At 36.3% G+C, this 22,426-nt stretch overlaps 1 protein-coding gene and 1 non-coding gene across 2 annotated transcripts in view; both read left to right on the top strand.

Annotated features, from left to right (window-relative positions):
• The first annotated feature begins 2,082 nt into the window (after positions 1-2,082).
• The window catches only part of CATSPERB (catsper channel auxiliary subunit beta), a 151,389-nt gene continuing 131,045 nt past the window's right edge, over positions 2,083-22,426 (top strand). The window contains exons 1-5 of the mRNA NM_024764.4: positions 2,083-2,239; positions 4,690-4,768; positions 9,001-9,089; positions 10,980-11,120; positions 14,691-14,751. Of these exons, the coding sequence (NP_079040.2) occupies positions 4,690-4,768; positions 9,001-9,089; positions 10,980-11,120; positions 14,691-14,751 (370 nt within the window). The 5' untranslated portion in view covers positions 2,083-2,239. The remainder of the gene's footprint in view (positions 2,240-4,689; positions 4,769-9,000; positions 9,090-10,979; positions 11,121-14,690; positions 14,752-22,426) is intronic.
• Positions 19,039-19,254, top strand: LOC124903436 (small nucleolar RNA U3). The gene has a single exon (XR_007064414.1). It is a non-coding gene; the product is annotated as a small nucleolar RNA U3 (small nucleolar RNA).

Genomic DNA, 22,426 nt, shown 5'->3' with positions numbered 1-22,426 from the left:
ACAGAGATGAGACTCCATCTCAAATAAATAAATTAATAAATAAAACAAAGACAAGAAAAATTTATAAATAAAATTGTTACATGACAAATTGAGTTAAATATTTACATTAAATATTGCAAGGGGTTATTTTACCATTTCACAAGCAAAACACTAAATTTCCCGTAGAAAATGTTTAACAACATGCCCAGATAATTTATAGAAGAAAAAAATGTCAAACAAGCATATTTATAAGTGTTCAGTTGAACCAATATTGAAAAAAGTAAAACAAGATTTTTTAATGTATCAAATTATTTCAGATTATATCTAATTTTCACTGCTGGGTTTCTGGAAAGCAATTTGTCAACATACATTCAAGAGTCTTAAACATGTTCATATCCTAAGGAAATATTTTTAAATGTAGGAAAATAATTTTGTTCAGGATTATTCATTACCACATTTCTCAAAAAGGAAAACACTGGAAATAGAAAAATATTTTATGTTTAAGTAAATTAGGTACCGTTATTTTTAGATCTACAACTGCGAAGACTTAAATAAAACACTTGAGTTACACGAGAAAATGGTCAGACTAACAATGACTGAAAGAAGGACATATAAATGCAGAAGAAACAGACTCGAGAAATGTCAAAATGTCCACAGTGGTTATATCTGGTTGTTGATTTATGCGTAATTGATTTCTCTATACTTGTTTTCATTTTTCACACATAATAAGCCCTGTTATAGCCAGCAAAAAATTACAAAAAAAGTCAAAGTCATCCTTCTTTCAATCAGCCCATTGCCTTGCCCCCTATCCTCCTGACTAGACGGAAGCCCAGTGCATAATTTGTTTTTCAGGCAGAAGAACCCCTTTCATTCCACTGTTACAGATGAATCACCTACTGTGGGAGTAGTCTTGGTACTCACATCAAAGTGTAATTCATCAGTGACTGTGATTGAAAACAGATCCTTTACTCTTTCGTAAGTTAGGAAACAAAATGTGGGGGCAAATGAGGAAAAGAAAACTAAGAGGTTGCTGGGGAGAAAGAAGGCAAATGTCACCTGCTTCATCATTCTTTTTAGAGCTCTCAATGTGTACCTTCAGTATTGCTCAGACTTTTTTTTAATGTGTAGCAGTGTTGCTATGGTAACTGAAAGCTACATCTTCTTCCATAAAAGCTTTATTGCCTTCCCTAGTGGGAAACAGGCAACAAAAAAAGAGAGCTCCAAGTTTCTGGGAACTGAGTCTTTATAAGGAAATATATTTTGTTGTGTTTTGCACACTGTTTCAGGTTCTTCTTTAGGTCAAGGTCACCAGAAAGGGTGAGAGAAATATATTTCTGATGCGGGCTCTTCCAGGAATAGATTAAACCCAGATACCAGACATATTTCAGGATATGAGGGTAAAGCAGGTTTTACATGGCCATGTGAAGGGACTTCTGAAGGACAACCTGAGTATAAAACACGTTTTATTATCATGATTATCAAAAAGTATGTGTCAGCCTCTGTGACCATTCATGACTAGTCAGGGCGCTGGGTAAGACAGAAAGGTTCAAGCTCAGCTCACTCGGTACTCAGTCAAAGGCAGCCTTAGTGAGCACATACAACCACATCAAGGACAGTCACACAACATGAATACGGAGGACAAACTGGCATGCCATTTGGTCTCACTGTTTCCATGCGTCCACAGCTCATTTCTAACTTTGTGCTTTGTGTATTTGCTTGTCTTGTTTACCTGTCAATAAGGCCTTCTCTATTTTTTTTAAGTCCCAGTCTTCCTTAAAGACCCAGTTATGAAGCTCCTCCCCTTTGAGAGATTGCCTCCTTTTAAACCTTATTATATGCAGTTAGCATGAGCTTTTAGCATTTATGTTTTTCCCCAGGCATTCAATGATCGTATGATCATTGAAGTGTTTTATAGATAATCATATGTAGGTTTCTGATCCTTCCTAGATAAATGCTATATTAAAGATGGAAGGTTTGGAGAACCTCCACCTCTCATCGGTTTTTAAAGAAAATGGCCTGTGGTGCTCTGAAAGAGGCAGTTAGTTGGAAATTCCAACTGCCTGTCCTTTAGATTTTCTAAGCATGCTTCTGTACTTGGTAGCTGCTGATTGGCTGTTACCAAAGGTGACTAGAGTGCTAAGCCAGTCAACAGGGAAAACTTGGCTCCTGACTTTGGGTCTTTCTTCTCAGTCTATATGGAAGAAAACTGAGAAAAAATATAAAAAAGAAGAACACAACTAGTTGCGCATCTCCTAAAGAGGTAATTACAGTAAAAAATATTAAAATAAGGACCCTGCTGGAGTATGAATTTATAATGTGATCACTATTCCATAATAATGGAGTAACTATAAATGAACCAACTGGGGGAGGAAATAGCTTCCTTCAATGGGGCAATTCCCAATGTTTATTTAGTGCCAGAGAAGAGAAAATGCCCAGATACATGACTTGTATCCAGTAATTATGTAAAACTTATAATAATTACAAAGGAATGATAACTGGGGGTAATTTAACTGCTAAGTAGGTCAGTAGGGGAGTGTGATGAGGAAAAAGAAGTTGCTGCAGTGTATGGAGATATGGAATTCAGAAGTAATACTTGTCAAGTGCTTATTCTGTATAGAATATGTTAGATGTTTTAAGGTATTTTTCATTTAATTCTCACAACAACACTGTGAAGTGCCTGTTATCCCCATTTTACTGAATAGAATATGAACTCCAAGAAGTTAAATAGCTTGCTAAAAATCAAATATTTCGATGGACAGACTTCGTCTTAGGCTAAAGTCTATGTTTTTACTCTAACTATGAGCTGAAAGTTGAAAGAAGATAGTATCAAATAAGGAAAAGTTGTAATATTGAAGGGAAAATAAGAAGAATGAGACTGGAACTATGCCCCAAAGAATTAAAGAAACCAGTAGGTAGCAGAAATTCTTGAGCTTGCAGGATGGCAGATAAGAAAGCTTGCAGAACAAGCTTGCTGACATTAAAACCAGAATTTCCACCACGTGCTTCATACTAACTCTCTCGAGTTTGCACAGGTGACCCATGAAGAGGCATAAAGATTCTAATAATGGTGTTGTATCATTTAATTTGAATGTTTAGCAAAGTGATATAAGATTTTTCTGGTAAAGGGACTATTTTCAGAGTTTAACTGTGATAATGTCTCCACTTAATGTTAAATTCGTTCTTACACCAAAAATATACTTGAGCATTGCACCATGCCGACAGAATTTTAATCTACCATTTGTTTCCTCTTACCTTGTGAAAACAAGTTGTTTTCTCAGATGATTTTTAAAAATGCACTAAAAACCTTCAGTTCTCCCCTGTTAATGTGATAAGAATGAATTCAAAAAAATCAAACTGTTTGAGCTTTCTATTGTCAATTAAATGTATTTAATAAGCAAGTCAGTTTTGATGAAGGAAAAACACCAGTTACATTTAATTTACTCAGCAGTTGTCAGGAACTGCACAAAGTTCTGAGATTTTATTCCACTTAGAGTTGGCAAATTAGTATGTTTCTGTTTTCTTGGATGCTGGCAAAAGACACAAGACTCCTAGGTCAGAGACGAAGGACTTTATTACTAATAGCAAAAGCAGTAGCCAGAGTGTCCACAGGTTGCTCACTCCAGTACCTCCTGTCCCCCAAGTTCCTTAGAGGTGAAATTCATCATGGATGCTGTGTTAGTTTTCTAGGGCTGCCATAACAAAGGCCCATACACTGGGTGGCTTAAACAACAGAAATTTATTTTCTCACAGTTCTGGAGGCTAGAAATCTGAGATCAAGGTGTCTGTAGGGTTAATTCCTTCTGAGGGCCATGAGGAAGGAACTGTTCATGCGTCTCTCCTGAGTTTATAGGTGGCTGGCTGTCTTCTTCCTGTGTCTTCCCTTCATCTTCCCTCTGAATGTCTTCCCTCTGTGTCTTCACTTCACCCTGCCTATGTCCAAATTTCCTCTTCTCTGAGGACACCAGTCCTATTGGATGAGGGCCCACCCTAATGACTTCATTTTCACTTCATCACCTGTTTAAAAATCCTATCTCCAAACATGATTGCCTTCTGAGGTAAGGGTGGTTAGGATTTCAACTTCAGAATTTTGAGGGTAGAAAATTGAGCCCATAATGGATGCTTATACACGTAGTGGAGTGCATTACAGGAGAGGTACAGTGAGATTAAGCAATTCACCATGGAAACAAGCCTGCTGTTGTCCAGGGTGCCTTACCTCATCCCTCAAGGCTGGTGGCTACAAAACACAAGCCTGAGATGAACACCATCCAGGGCCTTGCATTCTTGGCACACTCAACGAGAATGTGCAGGGAAACTCAGGACCATGTGAATTGTCTTCCCCAAAAGCAACGTTGTCAAAATATTAGATTAAGTTACAGCTGTATCATCCTCAGAGTCTTCATCAGTTCAGGCTCTGTTTTACATAGCTGTGTAACTGATCTCACCTCTCTAAAGGTTACCTACTGAAGGAAAACCTGAGCCACATCTCTTTTTCTAGTTTGTAATAATTATACCTATAAATTTACCTTTAATACCAAGTAGGGAGTAAATTTAGAGTTTAGGCAACTGTTGTGTTGTCTGCTTTTGTCACACAGTGTGAAATATTAAGAATATTGAGATTATTTCTTTACTACTTTGTAGTTGTTTATAGCAAAAGGAATTCAAAAATATGTTCAGAAATTGAGTGAAAATAATTCTTATTTATTCCAACAGATGGAATCGCCACTTATATATGTTTCAGTTTTGCTTTTGAACATATTTGAATTTTCATCAGGAATAGTATATAATAAAGGTAAGTTTCAGACCATCTTACTCTCTATTTCCTTCTCAGGAGTTCTTATTTGTGTCTCTTCCTTATTTACAGTAAAAAATTTTTCTTTTAGTATTTCTTCTTTATCTTATCTTCCAATTGTTTCCCAATATTGTCAATTATACTCTGGTCTAGAGGCTTCTAATATCCCGAGTACCTGGGATTACAGGTGCCCACCACCACGCCTGGCTAATTTTTGTATTTTTAGTAGAGATGGGGTTTCACCCATCTTGGCCAGGCTGGTCTTGAACTCCTGACCTCGTGATTCACCTGCCTCAGCCTCCCAAAGTGCTGAGATTACAGGCATGAGCCACCACACCTGGCCGATGGCATGAGATTTTATCACACTGCTCAGAACAGTGCACAATGTAAAACTTACAAATTGCTTATTTCTGAAAGTTTCCACTTTATGTTTTTAGACTATGGTTGGCTACAGGTAACTGAAACTGTGGAAAGTGAGATCACAGAAAAAGGGGGACTGTTGTGGTTGTATAACTGTGAATAGGGCAATGAATGAATTTCATAAATGGCATTTTTTTCTGTACGTTTGTCCCACAGTGGATTTTTATGGTAGTCAGAGCAGGCATTCCATTGGTGGTTACACTTGTGTGGTTTCCCTTTATATCATGATTCTTGTTGAAGAAGTCACATGCTGTTGAAAGTATAACTTCTCTGGCACATCTTTCCTTTAGAAGCTTGCGAAAGAGTAATTTTCTGTGTTTTATTATTATAACAGAATCTAGCAAACTCTATAATCTGAGAATTTCTAGGCAAAGCAGTCCGTGGAGGGAAAGTTAGAAAAGTTTGAAATTGTTTCTCTGTCTCTCCTCACAGTATCTCTGCCTCTGTTTTTACCACCCAAGCCCAGAAGATCCTGTTGATATGAGTACATAATTCACAAAATGATACCAAAGTGCAGAGGACAAATCAATTAGTTGCAATGAGACAAGTGTTAGAAAAAACTCTTTGGCCAGGTGCAGTGGCTCACACCTGTAATCCCAGCACTTTGGGAGGCTGAGACAGGAGGATACCTTGAGCCCAGGAGTTGGAGACCAGCCTGGGCAACATGGCAAAACCTCTTCTCTATAAAAAATACAAAATTTAGCCAGGTGTGATGGTGCTCACCTGCAGTCCCAGCTACTCAGGAGGCTGAGGTGGGAAGATCACTTGAGCCCCAGGAGGCAGAAGTTGCAGTGAGCCAAGATCACTCCACTACACTCCAGCCTGGGTGACAGAGCAACACCCTATATCAAACAAACAAAAACAAATTTCTATTTGAACTGGATCTTAAAATGTATTAAAATTTGAGGCAGAAAATGAAGTAGAGAGAAGCCCATGCATTTCAGAGGTGATAGACAAGGTTGTCTGCAGGGGAGACTGAAAAAATGGGCTTAACTATTGAAAGAGTGTCTAGCGGGATAAAGAGAGGATGTCCCTTAGAGAAACAACTTGGTTCCAGTCTGGCCCACTGTTGTTAGTTATATGACGTTTGAGCTTGATTTCCTCTTCTTTAAAGAGGAGACAGTAATATATGTGGCACAAGGTATTGTGGGAATTTCATAAAATAACATCTAAATCCAGCTCAACCCATTTGAGCCTTAATGGCTCAGAGTATGTTATTCAAAGGAGTTAGTTTCCTTCTGTTTAGTGTCTCACCATTTAAGAAGTTTAATTCATGAGGTAAGGGTGTGTCAGTGAAGATTTTTAAACAGAGAAGTGATTTGGACTTCACAATCAAATTATAGCTTTAAAAAATAGGTCTGATAGCATTGTCAAGTATGGGCAAAGTGACTGCATAAGTTGAAAGTACTTTGAAAACTGTTTAACATTATAACCTCCAGAAATATTTGTATATTTTGCATATTTGTGATATTTGTAAAGATATGTTTACTTATAGAATTTCAAGAATAGCATTGAAATCATTACATTATACAAACAGAATGAGTAACGTTCAATTATAAATTAAATTTATTTTTGCCTCCTATTTAAATCCAATCTTTGGCATGGTTCTTCCTCTGTCACTGGATGAATATTTGGGCCAGAACCAAGATTTTTTTGGTTACAATTGGATGATTCACACAGTTCTCCTAGAACAATAAACTCTGGGGAATATGAGGGACAGGAGAAATGGATCAGGGAGGGCACTGTGCTCACTACCTGGGAGACAGATTCATTTCTACGCCAAAACTTAGCATACAAAATATACTTTTGTAACAAACCTGCACATATTCCCCTTGAGCCAAAAATCAGTTCTCTGAGCATTTGAAATTTTAAAACACTTTTGCATTGTAATTGTTGTAATTAAGATATCCAAGCCCATGTACAAGTCAAATTTAACTCTTATTTTATAATTGAAGCTTCTTCCCTGTTCCCTATCTGGGCCTGTGCTGGTGGGAAGCCTATAGGTGAGGAAGAAAAGCTAAGGTCAACTTTTCCTTCTCTCCACTTAGTGTTTAGATTCCTTTTCATTGTCTCATCAACTTTAGGTTTTGACCCTTCCTGCTCCAGCGTTGTAGAAAGGGAGGGAGAAGTGGGAGGGAAAGCACAGTTCTGCCCTAGCTGGTTCTGAGGGGACCATCTGACATTTGCACTTTCAAGTTCCAGCAGATGTGTAAAGCTGACCCTTGATCTCTGGGCTCTTGAATGAGTCCTTCATAGCCCCTTCCCCTCCCTCACATTACTGGGAATCTCTCATCTACAGTTCTTCTAACAAAGGCAAAAACTTCTTCATTCCCACTGGTCACTTATTTCTTTGTCTATGCCTTCAAATTCTTTTTGCTGAGAGCCATTTGCCGCTCAGAGAGACCTTTGAGGACAGGAACCTAGATGACCCTAAGCTAGTTCTTTTTCACCAGTGACCTATATCTGGACCACAGGAAGCATTCATCCATCTTTTGCCCCAGTAAATTTTGGTTGTGCAGGACTCTTAATGAAACGGGAGAGTTCCCTGGCCCCTCTTGCAGGACATACAGAGGTGTGGCTGTTCTGGCACTCGAACCCCTTACGGGATGGGGAGCATGCAGATGGGCAGGTGCAGGAGCCGGACGAGCACGCCTGGGCTCTGGCTCCATGGCAGCATCCACGGGTGGGAGCCTGTGACTCCTGAAACCCAAGTGGGTGTGTGTTACAGTGCACCATCTTAGCCTTGCTGTCCACGGACGGTTTAAGTGTTTACCAGCTCAGTGCCTTCTTGGTACCCAGGTCCTTGTCCAGCATCCAGGAATAATCAGTTTGCACATGGACTTGAAGGATGAATGCAGGGGTTTTACTGAATGGCCTGAGGTGTCTCTCAGCAGGACAGATGGCTACCTAGAAGGGGGATGGTGTGGGAAGATGATCTTCCCCTGGATTTTGGCCTCTCCGACCATCCCCAGAGGAGCTCCTCTTGGCATTTAGATGCTCCTTCTCTTCTCTCTGCTGTTCTTTTGCTCTTCTGTTCATATCCTTGCTTACCTACTAGTCTGCTCTGAGGCCTGGGGTCTGGGGTTTATATGGGTATAGGATAGGGGCCATGGTGGGCCAAAAGGCAACTTCTGGGCACGAAAACAGAAATGCCTGTTTTCATTAGGGCTGTGGGTTTCCAGGCTTGAGGATGGGACCTTTGCCTCTTCTACCCAGTATTTCTGTCTTCTGTCTGTGTCATTAACGTACCCATCTCTTTCTCAACAAACCGTATCCTGTTCTCTCCACCAAATCATCTCTTGCCTTCTAGATTTTCTAAGCAGGAGTCTGAGTTTGTGCCCCAAACTGCAGGGATACATGTTACTTTTTTTAGTGTGCCCAACAGACCCTCTTGCCTCAGACACAAGGTAAGTAAGTAGAAGGGGTCCGTCTCCTAACATCTTCATTCAGTACCTCTCTATCAAAACACAAATTTTCTCTGCAGTTGCTGATTCTGGATCCTTTTATACCCTCAAGGTGAGGCGTTGAAGTGTCAAGAACTGGTTTTTGTCTACCTCTAAAAATTTTGTGTCATGGTCTAGCATGAGTTATATTAGTGCTTCAGCCAAACCTTCCGTTTCTAAACATACCTTATAGCATATGTGTAAAAAGAAAAACAAGGTGGAAAATTTGAATTTTACCTAAAGTGAATTTAAAATGTGCAATTATAATTCTTATTCCTTAAAAATATTTTGTCAGTTTTAGAAACATGGTACTTTTTATGGACAGTCTTCTATCAGTGATCTAATATATGTATTTTTTTTATTATTTAGATGATACAGAGAAACGCTTTGCATGTTCTAACAAAGGGTTCCCTCAAGAGAATGAAATAATCAAGTTGTATCTTTTCTTAGAAAACTTGGTAAGGTCCACTAATAGCATGTGTTATAACCCTTCACGTTCCTTTAAAATCCATGTGTAAAACCAATAGCATTGTATTCTTTCCAAATACCCTCTACTATGTTCAGTCTTGGGGAGGGAAAATTCTATATAAATAATAATTTTTTCTATCTTTGCTAGTGTATGTCTACTTGGAGCAGGTAAAATACTTCACTTAGCCATAGAGCATCCTGGGTGTTTTTGCTTTTATTCTTTCTTTTTTAAAATGATGCCTCCTCCCTCCCCTTTTTAGTGGAGTTGATTTGTCCTTTTGAAGTCTGACAGATGTAGCCTATTAGAGAAGGAAAGCTACCTCACATGACCTTGAAAATCTGTCTTGCCTTTGTATAACAAGTACCACATTGAAGTTGTCATTTTGGGTAAGGAATGATATGATCCTTTGATTCAAATAATGGGAGACTTTTTAAAAACACACACAACGGAGTAAAATAAAGCATGCTATCAAGATCATGCAGCAAATACTAACAAAAATATACATTAATAAAAAATGCACAGATTGTCTAAAAATCTATGATAAATATATATAATAAAAACAAAGAAAAAGACTCCATGAGAGCAAATGCATGTATTCCTAAGCCTGCTTTGACTTAGGCCACAATTCCCTCTTGATATGCTTAAATATATATTTAAGCTTTGTATATACAACTATTGAGAAGTGTATGCTCTCTGAGCTAAAAATGCATTTCTGATTTGTTGTTATATGTTATGGAAAAAGTATGGGCTTTGGAAGAAGACGGACTTACAGAGCTGGGGTCCAGTCTTGGTTCTGCCATTTATGGTCTGTGTGTCCTGGGGCAGGTTACCTAAACTCTCTAACCCTCAGTTCTTCTTCTAAAAAGGGAATTATAACCTACTTTTTGGATAGTTGTAGTATAGTAGTTCTAGCAGCAGTAGTATTAGAAGTGATAGCTAACGTTTATAAAGAGTTTATGTGTATCAGGCATTTTAAAAAAAAGTTTAATGTTCATTATGACATTTAATCTATACATTTAATCTTCTGTGAGGAAAATATTGTTTTTTATTCGCTAATAACCCTGTGAAAAATTGTACTGCCTTCCCAAACTCCTGCACTCTCAACCTCCCTTCCCTGCCTCGTTCTTATAATGTATTCTATATTTATTTCATTTTTTCTATCTTTTCCTTCATTCTCTACCAATCCATCCAACAATCTCTCCATCCAGTTTGTCTACTTGCCAATCTCCATTAGAATGTTAATTCCACAGGGGCAGAGAGTTCTGTCTGTTTTATTCACATCTACATTCCTAGCACCATTCATAGGAAGGGCTCAGTAGATATTTTTGGAATGAATGTATTTCCCCATTTTTTAGATTAGGGAAACTAAAACTCAGATAGGGAACTTGCCCAAAGCGATCTTAAGTACTAGGAGAATTAATTGAAATAAAGCTCTTGGTATCTGTCTCATGTTAGTTTTCAGGAAAATCCACCATTTCTGATCGCTACATTTTCATATGCCTTCTCAAAACTAGGAAATATCCAGTAAAGATGCAGTAAAATAGGCTTTGCTTTATATAGTTGCTTCCTTTTTTATTTAGACACAAAATAACAATTTTAATAAAATTGGAATTTCTATTTGTGATAACATATTGCTTTGAGTCTATGTTTACTACATGTAATAATAATGACCATTTCTATGATAGAAAAGATTATTATTAAGATGAAACCTTTATGATGCTAGCATAATAGGTTACTGAGTTCTGAAAGTATACTTGTATAAATATATATATTTTTTCCTAACTAGAGACTGGAATTACTAATCACTTTTAGATTAACTAACTTGTGTGTCTGCATCAAGTGGTTATTAGTTGTTTTTTTTTTTCTTGCTTTCCTAAAGAAAATCCAGTGTTTCTTCCAAACTGAAAATGAAATTGCATCAAAAGCAATGCTAAGTGTGTTCACATCAGGAGGACTTGCTCCCAGCTTGGGAATCATGAATAGTACATATAATGGCATCTTCCACTTTAATTTAACGTTGGTAATTACATTTTATCTTACTCTGTGATATGTTATTAACAAGAAGCATACTCTTCCTTATAGGATGTATTTTTTAAAAAATAGGTAGCTGAGTAATATTACATCTATGTATGTTTTAAGCCCACTGATAGTGTTACACTTTTTGCTTTAAACAGTCATATATTTTTAAATAAATTAAAGAAGAAGAAATACTTATTTGTACCCTTTACCTACATATTTATTATTTATACTGTCCTTCATTCCTTCCTGTAGATGTAAGTTGCCATCTGATGTCAATTTCTTTTAGCATTTCTTACAGTGCAGAACTGCTGGCAAATAATTCTCTGGGGTTTTTTCCTTCTAAAAATGTCTTTATTTCACCTCTTTTTTGGCAACAACTTTATTAAGATATAATTCCATACAGTTCACTCATTTAAAGTGTGCACTTAAATAGTTTTTAGTATATTCATAGAGTTGTGCAACCATCACTACTAATTCCAGAATACTTTAGTCACTCCAAAAGTGATGAAAGTGACAATCTATAACTATTAGCAGTCACTCCCAATCCCCCCTCCACTCCCCAGCCCTAGACAACCACTAATCTTTCTGTTTCTATAGATTTTCTAACTCTGAACATTTTATGTAAATGAAACATATATATGTAGTGTTCATGACTGGCTTCTTTCAGTTAGCATATGTTTCAGTTAGCATAATATGGTCAAATAATATCGCATTGTATAAATACCACATTTTGTTTATCCATTTATCAGTTGATGAACCTTTGGGCTATTCCCACTTTTTGGCTCTTCTGAATAATGCTGCTGTGAACATTTGTGTGAAAATTTTTGTGTGGAAATATATTTTCATTTTTCTTAGCTACATGGCCAGGGATGGAATTGATGGATCATATGATAACTCCATGTTTGACCTTTTGAGAAAATGCCAGACTGTTTTCTAAAGTGGTTGTACTATTTTACATTCTCACTAGCAGCTTGTTAGAATTCCAATTTCTTTTCTTTCTTTCTTTTTTGTTTAGAGACAGGGTCTTGCTGTGTTGCCCAGGCAGGATTTGAACTCCTGGGCTAAAGTGCCCAGAAGTTCTGCCTCAGCCTCCTGAGTAGCCAGGACTACAAGTGCACACCAGCACACCTGGGTTAGGGTTCCCGTCTCTCCACATCCTTACCAAGGCTTGGTTTTATTTGTCTTTTTTTTTTTTTTTTTTAGACAGAGTCTCGTTCTGTCACCCAGGCTGGAGTGCAGTGGTGCGATCTCGGCTCACTGCAAGCTCTGCCTCCCGGGTTCACGCCATTCTCCTGCCTCAGCCTCCAGAGTAGCTGGGACTACAGGCATCCGCCACCAAACCTGGCTAATTTTTTGTATTTTTAGTAGAGAACAGGGTTTCACCTTGTTAGCCAGGATGGTCTTGATCTCCTGACCTTGTGATCCGCCAGCCTCGGCCTCCCAAAGTGCTGGGATTACAGGCATGAGCCATCATGCCTGGCCTTTATTTATCTTTTTTAAAATAACCATCCTAGTAGGTATAAAGTGCTATCTCATTATCATTTTGATTTTAATTTCCCAAATGACTAATGATGTTGAGTATCTTTTCATGTACTTATTAGTCCCTTGAATACATTCTTTGGAGAAATATCTATTCAAATTATATGCCCATTTTTAGTTTGGGTATTCGTGTTTTTGATTTGTAAAAGCTCTGTATAGATTCTAGATACAAGTCTCTTATCAGACATATGATTTGCAAATATTTTCTCTCATTCTATGCGTTGTCTTTTCACTTTCTTTATAGTGTCCTTTGATACACAGAAGTTTTTCTTAATGAAGTCGGCTGTATCTATTTTTTCTCTTGTTGCTTGTGCTTTTGGTGTCATGTGTAGAAAACCATTGCCTGACTCAAGGTTATGAAATTTTATCCCACATGTTTTCTTCTAGGAGGTTGATAATTTACCTTCTACATTTAGATCTTGGATCCATTTTGAGTTCATTTTTGTATTTGATGTGAGATAAGGGTCCTTACTCATTCTTTTGCATGTGGATATCCAGCCATCCTAGCATGACTTGTAGAAAAGACTATTATTCTTCTATTGAATTGTTTTGGCACTTTTGTTGAAAATAAGTTTACCATAAATGGGACAGTTTATTTCTGGATTCTCAATTTTATTGCATTGATCCACATGTCTATCTTTATGCTAATATCATATTGTCTTGATATTGTTGCTTTGTACTACAGTTTGAAATCAGGAAGCATGAATCTTCTAACTTTGTTCTTTTTCAAGATTATTTTTGCTAGTCTGAGTTACATAAAATAATATGAATTTTAGGATAAGCTTGCCAATTTCTACAAAGTAGCCATCTGGGATTCTGATAAGGACTGTATTGAATCTGTAGATACATTTGGGTAGTATTGCCATTTTACTAATATTAAGTCTTCCAATCTATGAACAGGGTGGATGTCTCTCCATTTATTTAGATCTTTAATTTCTTTCAACAATGTTTTATGTTTTCAGAGTATAAGTTTTATACTTCTTTTGTTAAATTTATTTCTAATATTTTATTCTTTTTTATGTTTTAAAGGGAATTGCTTTCTTAATATCATTTTCAGATTGTTCACTGCAAGTACATAGAAATATAATAATTGATTTTTATATGTTGATCTAGTATCCTGCAGCCTTGCTAAACTTGTTTGTAAGATCTAACAGGTTTTTAGTGGTCAACTGAAATTTTGAAGCATAGTTTTGTCAAATATAAAATTTCTGGTTGACTTCACTTTATTTCAGCATTTTGAATATTTTATACTAATGTCATCTGACACCTTTGCTTCTGAATAAGAAGTCAGCTGTTAATTTTACGATTGTCTCCTGTATGTAATATGTTATTTTTCTCTGGATGCTTTTAAGATTTTTCTCTTTGGATTTACCCAAGTAAGGTTCCCTGGGCTTCTTGAATTGTAAGTTTAGCAAATTTGGAATGTTTCCAGCCATTATTTCTTCAAAAGAAGAATTGTACCACACGTCTCTAAGATCTTACCTGTGGTTTTGGCAGCTGAAATCGCTACTCAATTCTTTTAGCTTGCACTGCTAGTTTTTACAAACTGGTCTTCTGGGGGTGTCCTTTGCACCTTTATTGCCCAAGAATTTGGTCACAGTTTATATTTAAATCTCAGAGATTACCATTCTTGCAGTTTCCTTATTCCTGGAATTTTCCTCTTAATATCCCAAATGCTCTGTCAACCTCAAGCTCTGTCTCTGACATGTCATGAGTAAATACTTCAACTATGTGCTACATAAGCTTGGCTGTACAGAGTTCCACTATGTGGCTATATTATACATAACTGATGAATATTTTCATTATTTCCAATGTTCAGCCATTACAGTGATGCAAAATTATTCTTGAACACATTTTATTTCACACATATGTGAGCATAATGTAGGAAAAATTCCTAAGAGTGAAATTTCTAGGTAAAAGGTATATGCATTGGATGTTTTTGTTTAATTCTCTTTTAAAAATATAGCATAGAATGTGATGTGTTGTTATTCATGTTGTAAAACATTGTTTTCTGATGTCTTCTTTATTCAAGTTCAGTGATCGGATTTTGTGGTTGGTTGATATTCCTAGAGAAAACATCACACAAAGCACAGGTAAGAGTGATCTGAATTAATTCTTTTACCCCTGGGTCTGGATTTATCAAATAAAAAGAACAAAAAGAATTTATTATCTTAAAAGTGATTTGTTATGTCATGTAAATCCCCCATGTGGTATTTGGGGCATACTTACTAAAAATTATCTGTGGTTTATCTGAATTTTAAATTTAACTGGGATACTGTATTTTACCTGACAGTCATATTATAGGTAGATTGTTTTGACATATACAACATTTATATTATCTTTTATTTAAAATAAATTCATTTCTTAGAACTTGGAAATTGTAGTATTAATATGGGTACTAATTTATTTTACTGAAGATGAATCATTAGTTTTAATATGTTATAAGCTATAAATATGTGTTATTTTATTATGGAATCTATTAAGTATTTTGTGGCAGTGTAGCATCATATGCTACTGTATGTACCTAGATGAAAAGAGGAGAAAAGTCAAATTCCAGGAACTGTGAGTATTGATCTAGTGAACTGACCTAGTAGATCTGTAGGCATGAGACACATTCCCAGAGGTTAAAAATGGTGGAAGATTTGTTGTTTTAATATGATAGGTGCGTTAAACAAAACCAACTTGACTTCACTTAAGGAAAAAGAAGAAATTTATTTTAGTCATGGAACCCAAAGACAAAAATGCGCCATCTTATAGGAAGGAATTAGAAATAAGAAATGGAAAACCATCAAGAACTGAGGGAATACTTTCACCCTGTTTGTCTGTCTTATCTGTATTTTCTGTAAATCTATATTTATTTTTCTTTTTTTGTAGACAGGCTTTCTAAAGTTGCCTCATTACAGTTGAATTTTATATATCTTTCTTATGGGTCAGCCCAATTCCAAATTCCCAGGACAGTATCTTCAGTTGACCCATTGTTGATCCAGCATCCACCTGTGCACCAAGCAAATATGGATTGGGAGAGTGGGATGGGGGAACCATACAGGCCAACCCCTCTTGGTATTGGAGTAAAGGACATTCCAAACTGTGTCTTATAGAATGAAGGCAAGGCAAGGTGAGGGTAAGTTAGAGATGATGGAAAAGATTCTATAGATAAAAAAAGTGTCAAAGATAAAAGTCTGCAATAGATGCGCCAGTGCCATAACATCTGGCATAGATTGTATCACTCTCTTTACCCTTTATTCAACGTTTTTCAAATTAATTTTCTTATTGGAGCTATCTGTGATTTTTAAAGGAATTTATCTTGAAAACTGTACTTATTTTCGATGTAGCCTAACTCTTATTAATATAATGATGGAGTGTTATTCCAGAAGCTTTGCATAATATTGACATTCATTTGACCATTGAAGAAGTGAAGATCACATGTTATTTTTACTTCTACTCTTTATTTACAAACTTTAATTTTAGAAAAGCATTGATTCTAAAGTCACCCAGACAGGAACAAAGATGATACGAGAACTTAAGGATTTTAGAAAAAGACCAAATTAGCTCTTCCTCTCCTGATACAACTCCCCTGACTGAGTAAAAAGAAATATCTTTGTGCTAGTACTGTAATAGGAGGGGATGGTTTATGTAGATAGTAATATGCTAAAAATCAGGGGAAAAATGTTCAGAGGTAAGGAGATCATATTTATTCATTCACTTTTTCCTCCTTAATCATACTTTATTTACTGCTATGGCATGAATATGAGTATTATGAGTATATGTAAAATCTTGGGAATATATTTGAGTGTATGTAAAATCTTGGGAAAAGTAGGTTAGGCAACATCAACAACAAAGGTAGTAAAATAGTCATTGTAGTGGCAGTAGAAATAGCAGGCAGCATTTATTGAATTCTTATTATATGTCAGCACTGCTCTAAACACTCTATCTATGTTATTTCATTTATTCCTAACTATGTGGTAGATACTATTACTATCTTCATTTTCAGATGATTTAACTGAGGCCTATGGAGTTGTATGGAAATTTAGAGATGACTGGGTGGTGAAAGCAGTTTGAAGTGTGAACTACATATAATTGTTGAAAGTAAACAGCCCCTCCTTGATTTACACTACATAATTTGCCCCTTTTTTTCATTTTAAAATAAGGTATAATTTGCATTCTATGAAACATCCTTTTTGGTGTCCAGTTCTATGGGTTTTGACAAATGTATACAACCGTGAGCACTGCAGTCAAGACATAGAACAGTTCCATCAGGCAATAAAGTCACTCCACCCATAATCAACCCCTCTCCATCTCCCAGTCCCTGGCAACCACTGTTCTGTTCTCTGTTCCTGTTGTTTTGTCTGTTCCAGGGTCATATAAATGGAATCATAACCTATACAGCCTTTGAGTCTGGCTTCTTTCACTTAGCTAATTCATTGGAGATTTGTCTATGTTATAGTCTCTCTAGTGTTCTTGTTGGGTAGTGTTTTTTGGTGTGGATAGTTAATTTTGTTGAAGGGCATTTGGGTTTTTCTAGTTTTTGACAATTATGAATAAAGCTACTGCAAACAATCTCATACAGGTTTTTGTGTGAACATAAATTTTTGTTGCATTTAGCTAATACCAAGTAGTAGGATTACTGTGTTGTATGGTAAGTATAAGCTTAACTTTATAAGAAAAACTGTCAAACGATTTCCCAAAGTGGCTTTATCATTTTGCATTCTGACCACCAGGTGATCTGCATCCAGGCCAGAACTTAGTGTATGTGTGTGTGTCTGTGTGTGTGTGTGTGTGTGTGTGTGTGTGTGTGTGTATGCTTGTAAATATGTATGCATATAAGTATGTATAGACATATTTTTTAAATTTTTAGCCATTCTAAAAAAAAGTGTAGTGGCATTTAATTGTGTGGTTTTTTGTTTGTTTGTTTGTTTATTTGTTTGGATTTTTTTGAGACGAAATCTGCTCTGTTGCCCAGGCTGGAGTGCAGTGGTGCAATCTCAGCTCACTGCAGCCTCCGCCTCCTGGGTTCAAGTGATTCTCCTGCCTCAGCCTCCTGAATAGCCAGGATTACAGATACGCACCACCAGGCCCGGCTAATTTTTTGTATTTTTAGTAGAAACAGGGTTTCGCCATGTTGAGCAGTCTGGTCTCAGGTGATCCACTGGCCTCAGCCTCCCAAAGTGCTGGGATTACAGGCGTGAGCCACCGTGCCCAGACTAATTGTGGTTTTAATTTGCATTTTTCTAACAACTAATGACATTGAGCATCTTTTTTTGTGCTTATTTGCCATTTGGCTTAGTATCTGTTCAAATGTTTTACAAGTTTATTATATATTCTGGATATGGGTGTTACCACATATGATTTGCAGATATTTTCTCCCAGTCTGGGGTTGTCTTTTCATCTCTTAAGAGTATCTCTTGAAGATCAGAGTTTTCAATTTTGCTGAAGGCTAATTTATCAGCTTTTTATTTTATGGATGGTACTTTTGATATCACAGCTAAGAAATCTTTGCCTAAGTTCACAAAGATATTCTCCTATATTTTCTTCTAGAAGTTTACACTTCTAGCTTGTGTATTTAGGTCTATGATTTATTTTGAGTTGATTTTTATAAGTTATATGGGCCAATGTTAATTTTTTGGAATATGGATACCCAGTTATTCCAGTACCATTGTGAAAACTTTTTATCTCCATTGAATTGCTATTTCTGGACTGTATCCTTTCACCAATACTATACTGTCTTGATTATTTTAGCTTTATAATAGGTCTTGTAAGCCATGTTAGTCCTTCAATGTTGATCTTCTTTTTCAAAATTGTTTTGGTTATTATAGTTCTTTTGCCTTTCTATGTAAATTTTAGAATCAACTTGTTTACTTCTACAAAAATCCTGCAGTGATTTTTAATTTTGTATTGCATTGAATCTATAGATCAGTTTAGGGAAAGTCAATAATATCTTTTTTTTTTTTTTTTTTTTTTGAGATGGAGTCTCACTCTTATTGCCCAGGCTGGAGTGCATTGGCATGATCTTGGCTCACCACAACCTCCGCCTCCCGAGTTCAAGTGATTCTCCTGCCTCAGGCTCCTCAGTAGCTGGGATTACAGGCGCCTGGCTAATTTTTTTGTATTTTTAGTAGAGACGGGGTTTCGCCATGTTGGCCAGGCTGGTCTCAAAGTCCTAACCTCAGGTGATCCACCCACCTCGGCCTCCCAAAGTGCTAGGATTATAGGCATGAACCACCATGCCTTGCTGGGAGAGTCAATATCTTAAAAATAATGAGTCTTCCAAACCATGAAGACACTGTGTCTCTCCATTTGTTTACATCTTTTTAAAAATTTATTTCACCCAGGTTTTGTGGCTTTCAGCTTAGAGAACTTGCACATAAAAAAAAAAGTATACCAAAATTATACTTTCAGCAATCATCTCTATAGTTTGTTACTAGAGAAGCTTCTGTGAATGTGTAGAGCACCGGAAACCACAAGGCAAAGGCTCAGCATTCTCTCCTAAGCGCGAAGCTGGCTCCTGGTGTTGGTTGGCCGCAACTGCCATTTGCCATTGATGATCATTCTTCTCTTCCTGTGGTAGAGGAAGAGGGAGAGAATGCAGTTTGAGTGGTTTCTATTTTGTTGGTTTTTGTTTTTTAAGTTATACCTAAGTAGTTCATGGTTTTGGGCCAGGCACAGTGGCTCAGGCCTGTAATCCCAGCACTTTGGGAGGCCGAGGCGGGTGGATCACCTGAGGTCAGGAGTTTGAAACCAGCCTGGCCAACGTGGCGAAACCCCATCTCTACTAAAAATACAAAAATTAGCCGGGCGCAGTGGAGGGCACCTGTAATCTCAACTACTCGAGAGGCTGAGGCAGGAGAATTGCTTGAACCCAGGAGGCAGAGGTTGCAGTGAGTCAAGATTGCACCATTGCACTCCAGACTAGGTGACAGAGCAAGACTCTATCTCAAAAAAAAAAAAAAAAAAAAAAGTAGTTTATGGTTTGGAGTGTTATTGTAAGTGGTACTTTTTAATATTTTGATTTCCAATTGTTCATTGTTCATATGTAGAAGAATGATTGAGTTCTGTTTATTGATCTTGTATCCTGCAATCTTGTTAAATTCACTTATTGGTTCTAATAGCTTTTAATATATTCTTTAGGATTTTCTACATGGATAATCACTCATTTAGGAATGGAGATAATTTTATTTCTTCTCTTCCAGTATGTATTCATTTTCTTTCTTTCTTTTTTTCTTTTTTTTTTTTTTTGCCTTATTGTACTGGTAGGACCTCTAGTATGATTCCAGTATGAAAGGAATAGTAAGAGAGGACATCCTTGCCTTGTTTCCAGTTTTAGGGAAAAAACATTCATGTTTTACATAGGCGCCCTTCATCAGGTTGAAGAAATTTCCTTCATTACAAGTTTGCCGAGTTTTTATTATTGGTGTCAAATCTTGTTAAATGATTTTTTGCATCTATTGAGATGATTATAAGGATTTGCTTACAATTGTCTGTTGATATGATAAATTACATTGATTCCTTTTTGAATTTTGAACCAGTCTTGGAATCCTAGGACAAACAACACTTGGTCATGATGTATTATCTTATTTATATATTCCTGAATTCATTTGGCTAGTAGGTTTCCTAGGTTATCAGTATGGAGATTTATTTTCTTTTCTTGGAATGTCTTTATTTCATTCTAGTATCTGAGTAAGGTTGTCATTATAAAATGAGTTGGGATGAGTTCCCTGCTTTTCTATATTGTGGATGAGTTTTTATAGAATTGGTGTCACCCTTTCATTAAATGTTTGGTGAGATTAACCAGTGAAGGTATCTGGGCTTGGAGTTTTCTTTGTGAAAGGATTTTAAATACACATTCATTATCCCTTAATAGATTTAGGAATATTCAAGTTTTCTGTTTCTCTTTAAGTGAGCTTTGACAGTTTGTGTCTTTCAAAGAAAATGTCCATTTCATCTAAGTTGTTGAATCTACGGACACGGAGTTGTTTGTGATATTCCCTTCTTATCCTTAGAATATCTATAGTGTCTGTAGTGGTGTTCCCTATTTTATCTCTAACATGAGTTATTTGTATTTTTTAAATTATTAGTCTTGCAAGGGTTCATCGGTTTTTATGTTTCAAAGAGACATCTTTTGATTTCATTAATTGTGTATATTGTTTTTCTGTTCCTAATTTCATCAGTTGTCACTCTTTATCTTATCCTTCTACTTGCACTGGGTTTAATTTGCTTCTTTTTTTTTTCCTAGTTTGTTAAGTTGGGAATCTTTAGATCAGGGGTCAGCAAAGTACTGACCCCTGATCCTGCCTACTGCCTATTTTTGTAAATAAAATTTTATTGGAACACAATCATGCTCATTTATTTATGTGTCTTCTATGGCTGCTTTTATGCTACAGTGGTATAGTTGAAGTAGTGTAACAGATATCATATAACATACAAAGCCCCAAATATTTACTATCTGACCCTTTACAAACTCTTTACTATCTTCCAAAGCCTGCTTCATATACAGCAGATCCTCGAATAACCTCATTTCATTCAACATCATTTCATTATAATATTGATGAGGAAGAAAAGTCAATTCCTGGCCAGGGCCACTGTCTGTGTGGAGTGCTCGTGTTCTCCCCATGTCTGCGTAGGTTTTCTCTGAGTACTCTAGTTTCCTAGCACAGCCAAAGATGTGCATGTTGGGTTAATTGGTGTGTCTAAATTGTCCCCGTATGACTGAGCTTGGGTGTGTGTGTAAGTGCACCTTGTGAAGAAATGGCGTTCAATCTTGGGTTGGTTCCCGCCTTGTTCCTGAGCTGCTGGAGTAGGCTCCCCTGATTCTGAACTGAAATAAGCAGGCTAGAAAATGAATGAATGAATACTTACAAATTATTATAAAGTAAAAATTTATTAAGTATACGATAATCATACAAACAAATGCATGACAGTAAACGATGCAATACAAAAGCCCTCAGTTAGCCTGCCATGTTTGTTATTGTTTTATAACTGCAAGTGGTAGAGGATGCTCCTTACAGTTTTTGCTTTGCAAACATTTATTCCTTTATTTAATCCACCACCGCTATGACTACCATTACTTACTGATTCACCAAAAATTGGGTAAGTAATTATCTTACTTGTTTTTATTAATCTTTTTAAAATCTATGCATAGCTCACATTTATTTTAATATTTAATATTAGAAGAATTTGGGGTCTTTATTTAGAAGTTTGGTGATGCTTTTGTGACCAGATATATGCCATAGAAACTTAACTCTTGTTTATATCAATTTGCCTGTTGTGAAATTGGTTTCTATTCATTATTTATACAATTATATTCATTATTTATACATTGTTTTGCCTAAAGTCCTAGTTTCCAAGAACATATTGATGATTATAAGTGAGAACTTACTGTAATTGATTTGAGATTTCTTTTTTCTACTGCAAGTATTTTACTGCTATATATTTCTCTCTAAGCATTGCTTTATCTGCATCCAATAAATTGTGATGTTGTGTTTTCCTCTTCTTTCAATTAAAAATATTTTCTAATTCCCCACAGCACTTTCTCTTTGATACATGGTTTTTTAGAAGTGTGTTGTAAAATGTTCAAATATTGGGGAATTTTTCAGATGTCTTTCTGTTATTGATTTTTCTAGCTTATTCCATTATGTTTAGAGGGCATATTTCATGTGATAGCAATTTAATTTATTAAAATGTGTTTTATGGCTTATTTAGTAGATGCCCCATGTACTCTTGACATAACTTTTGATTTACATATTTTGAAGCTGTGTTGTTAAGCATGTCTAC

This window comes from Homo sapiens, chromosome 14 (genome assembly GCF_000001405.40).
Source record: "Homo sapiens chromosome 14, GRCh38.p14 Primary Assembly".
Classification (NCBI taxonomy): domain Eukaryota; kingdom Metazoa; phylum Chordata; class Mammalia; order Primates; family Hominidae; genus Homo; species Homo sapiens.
Note: the sequence above shows the minus strand (reverse complement) of the source record. Positions and strands in the feature narration are given on the sequence as shown.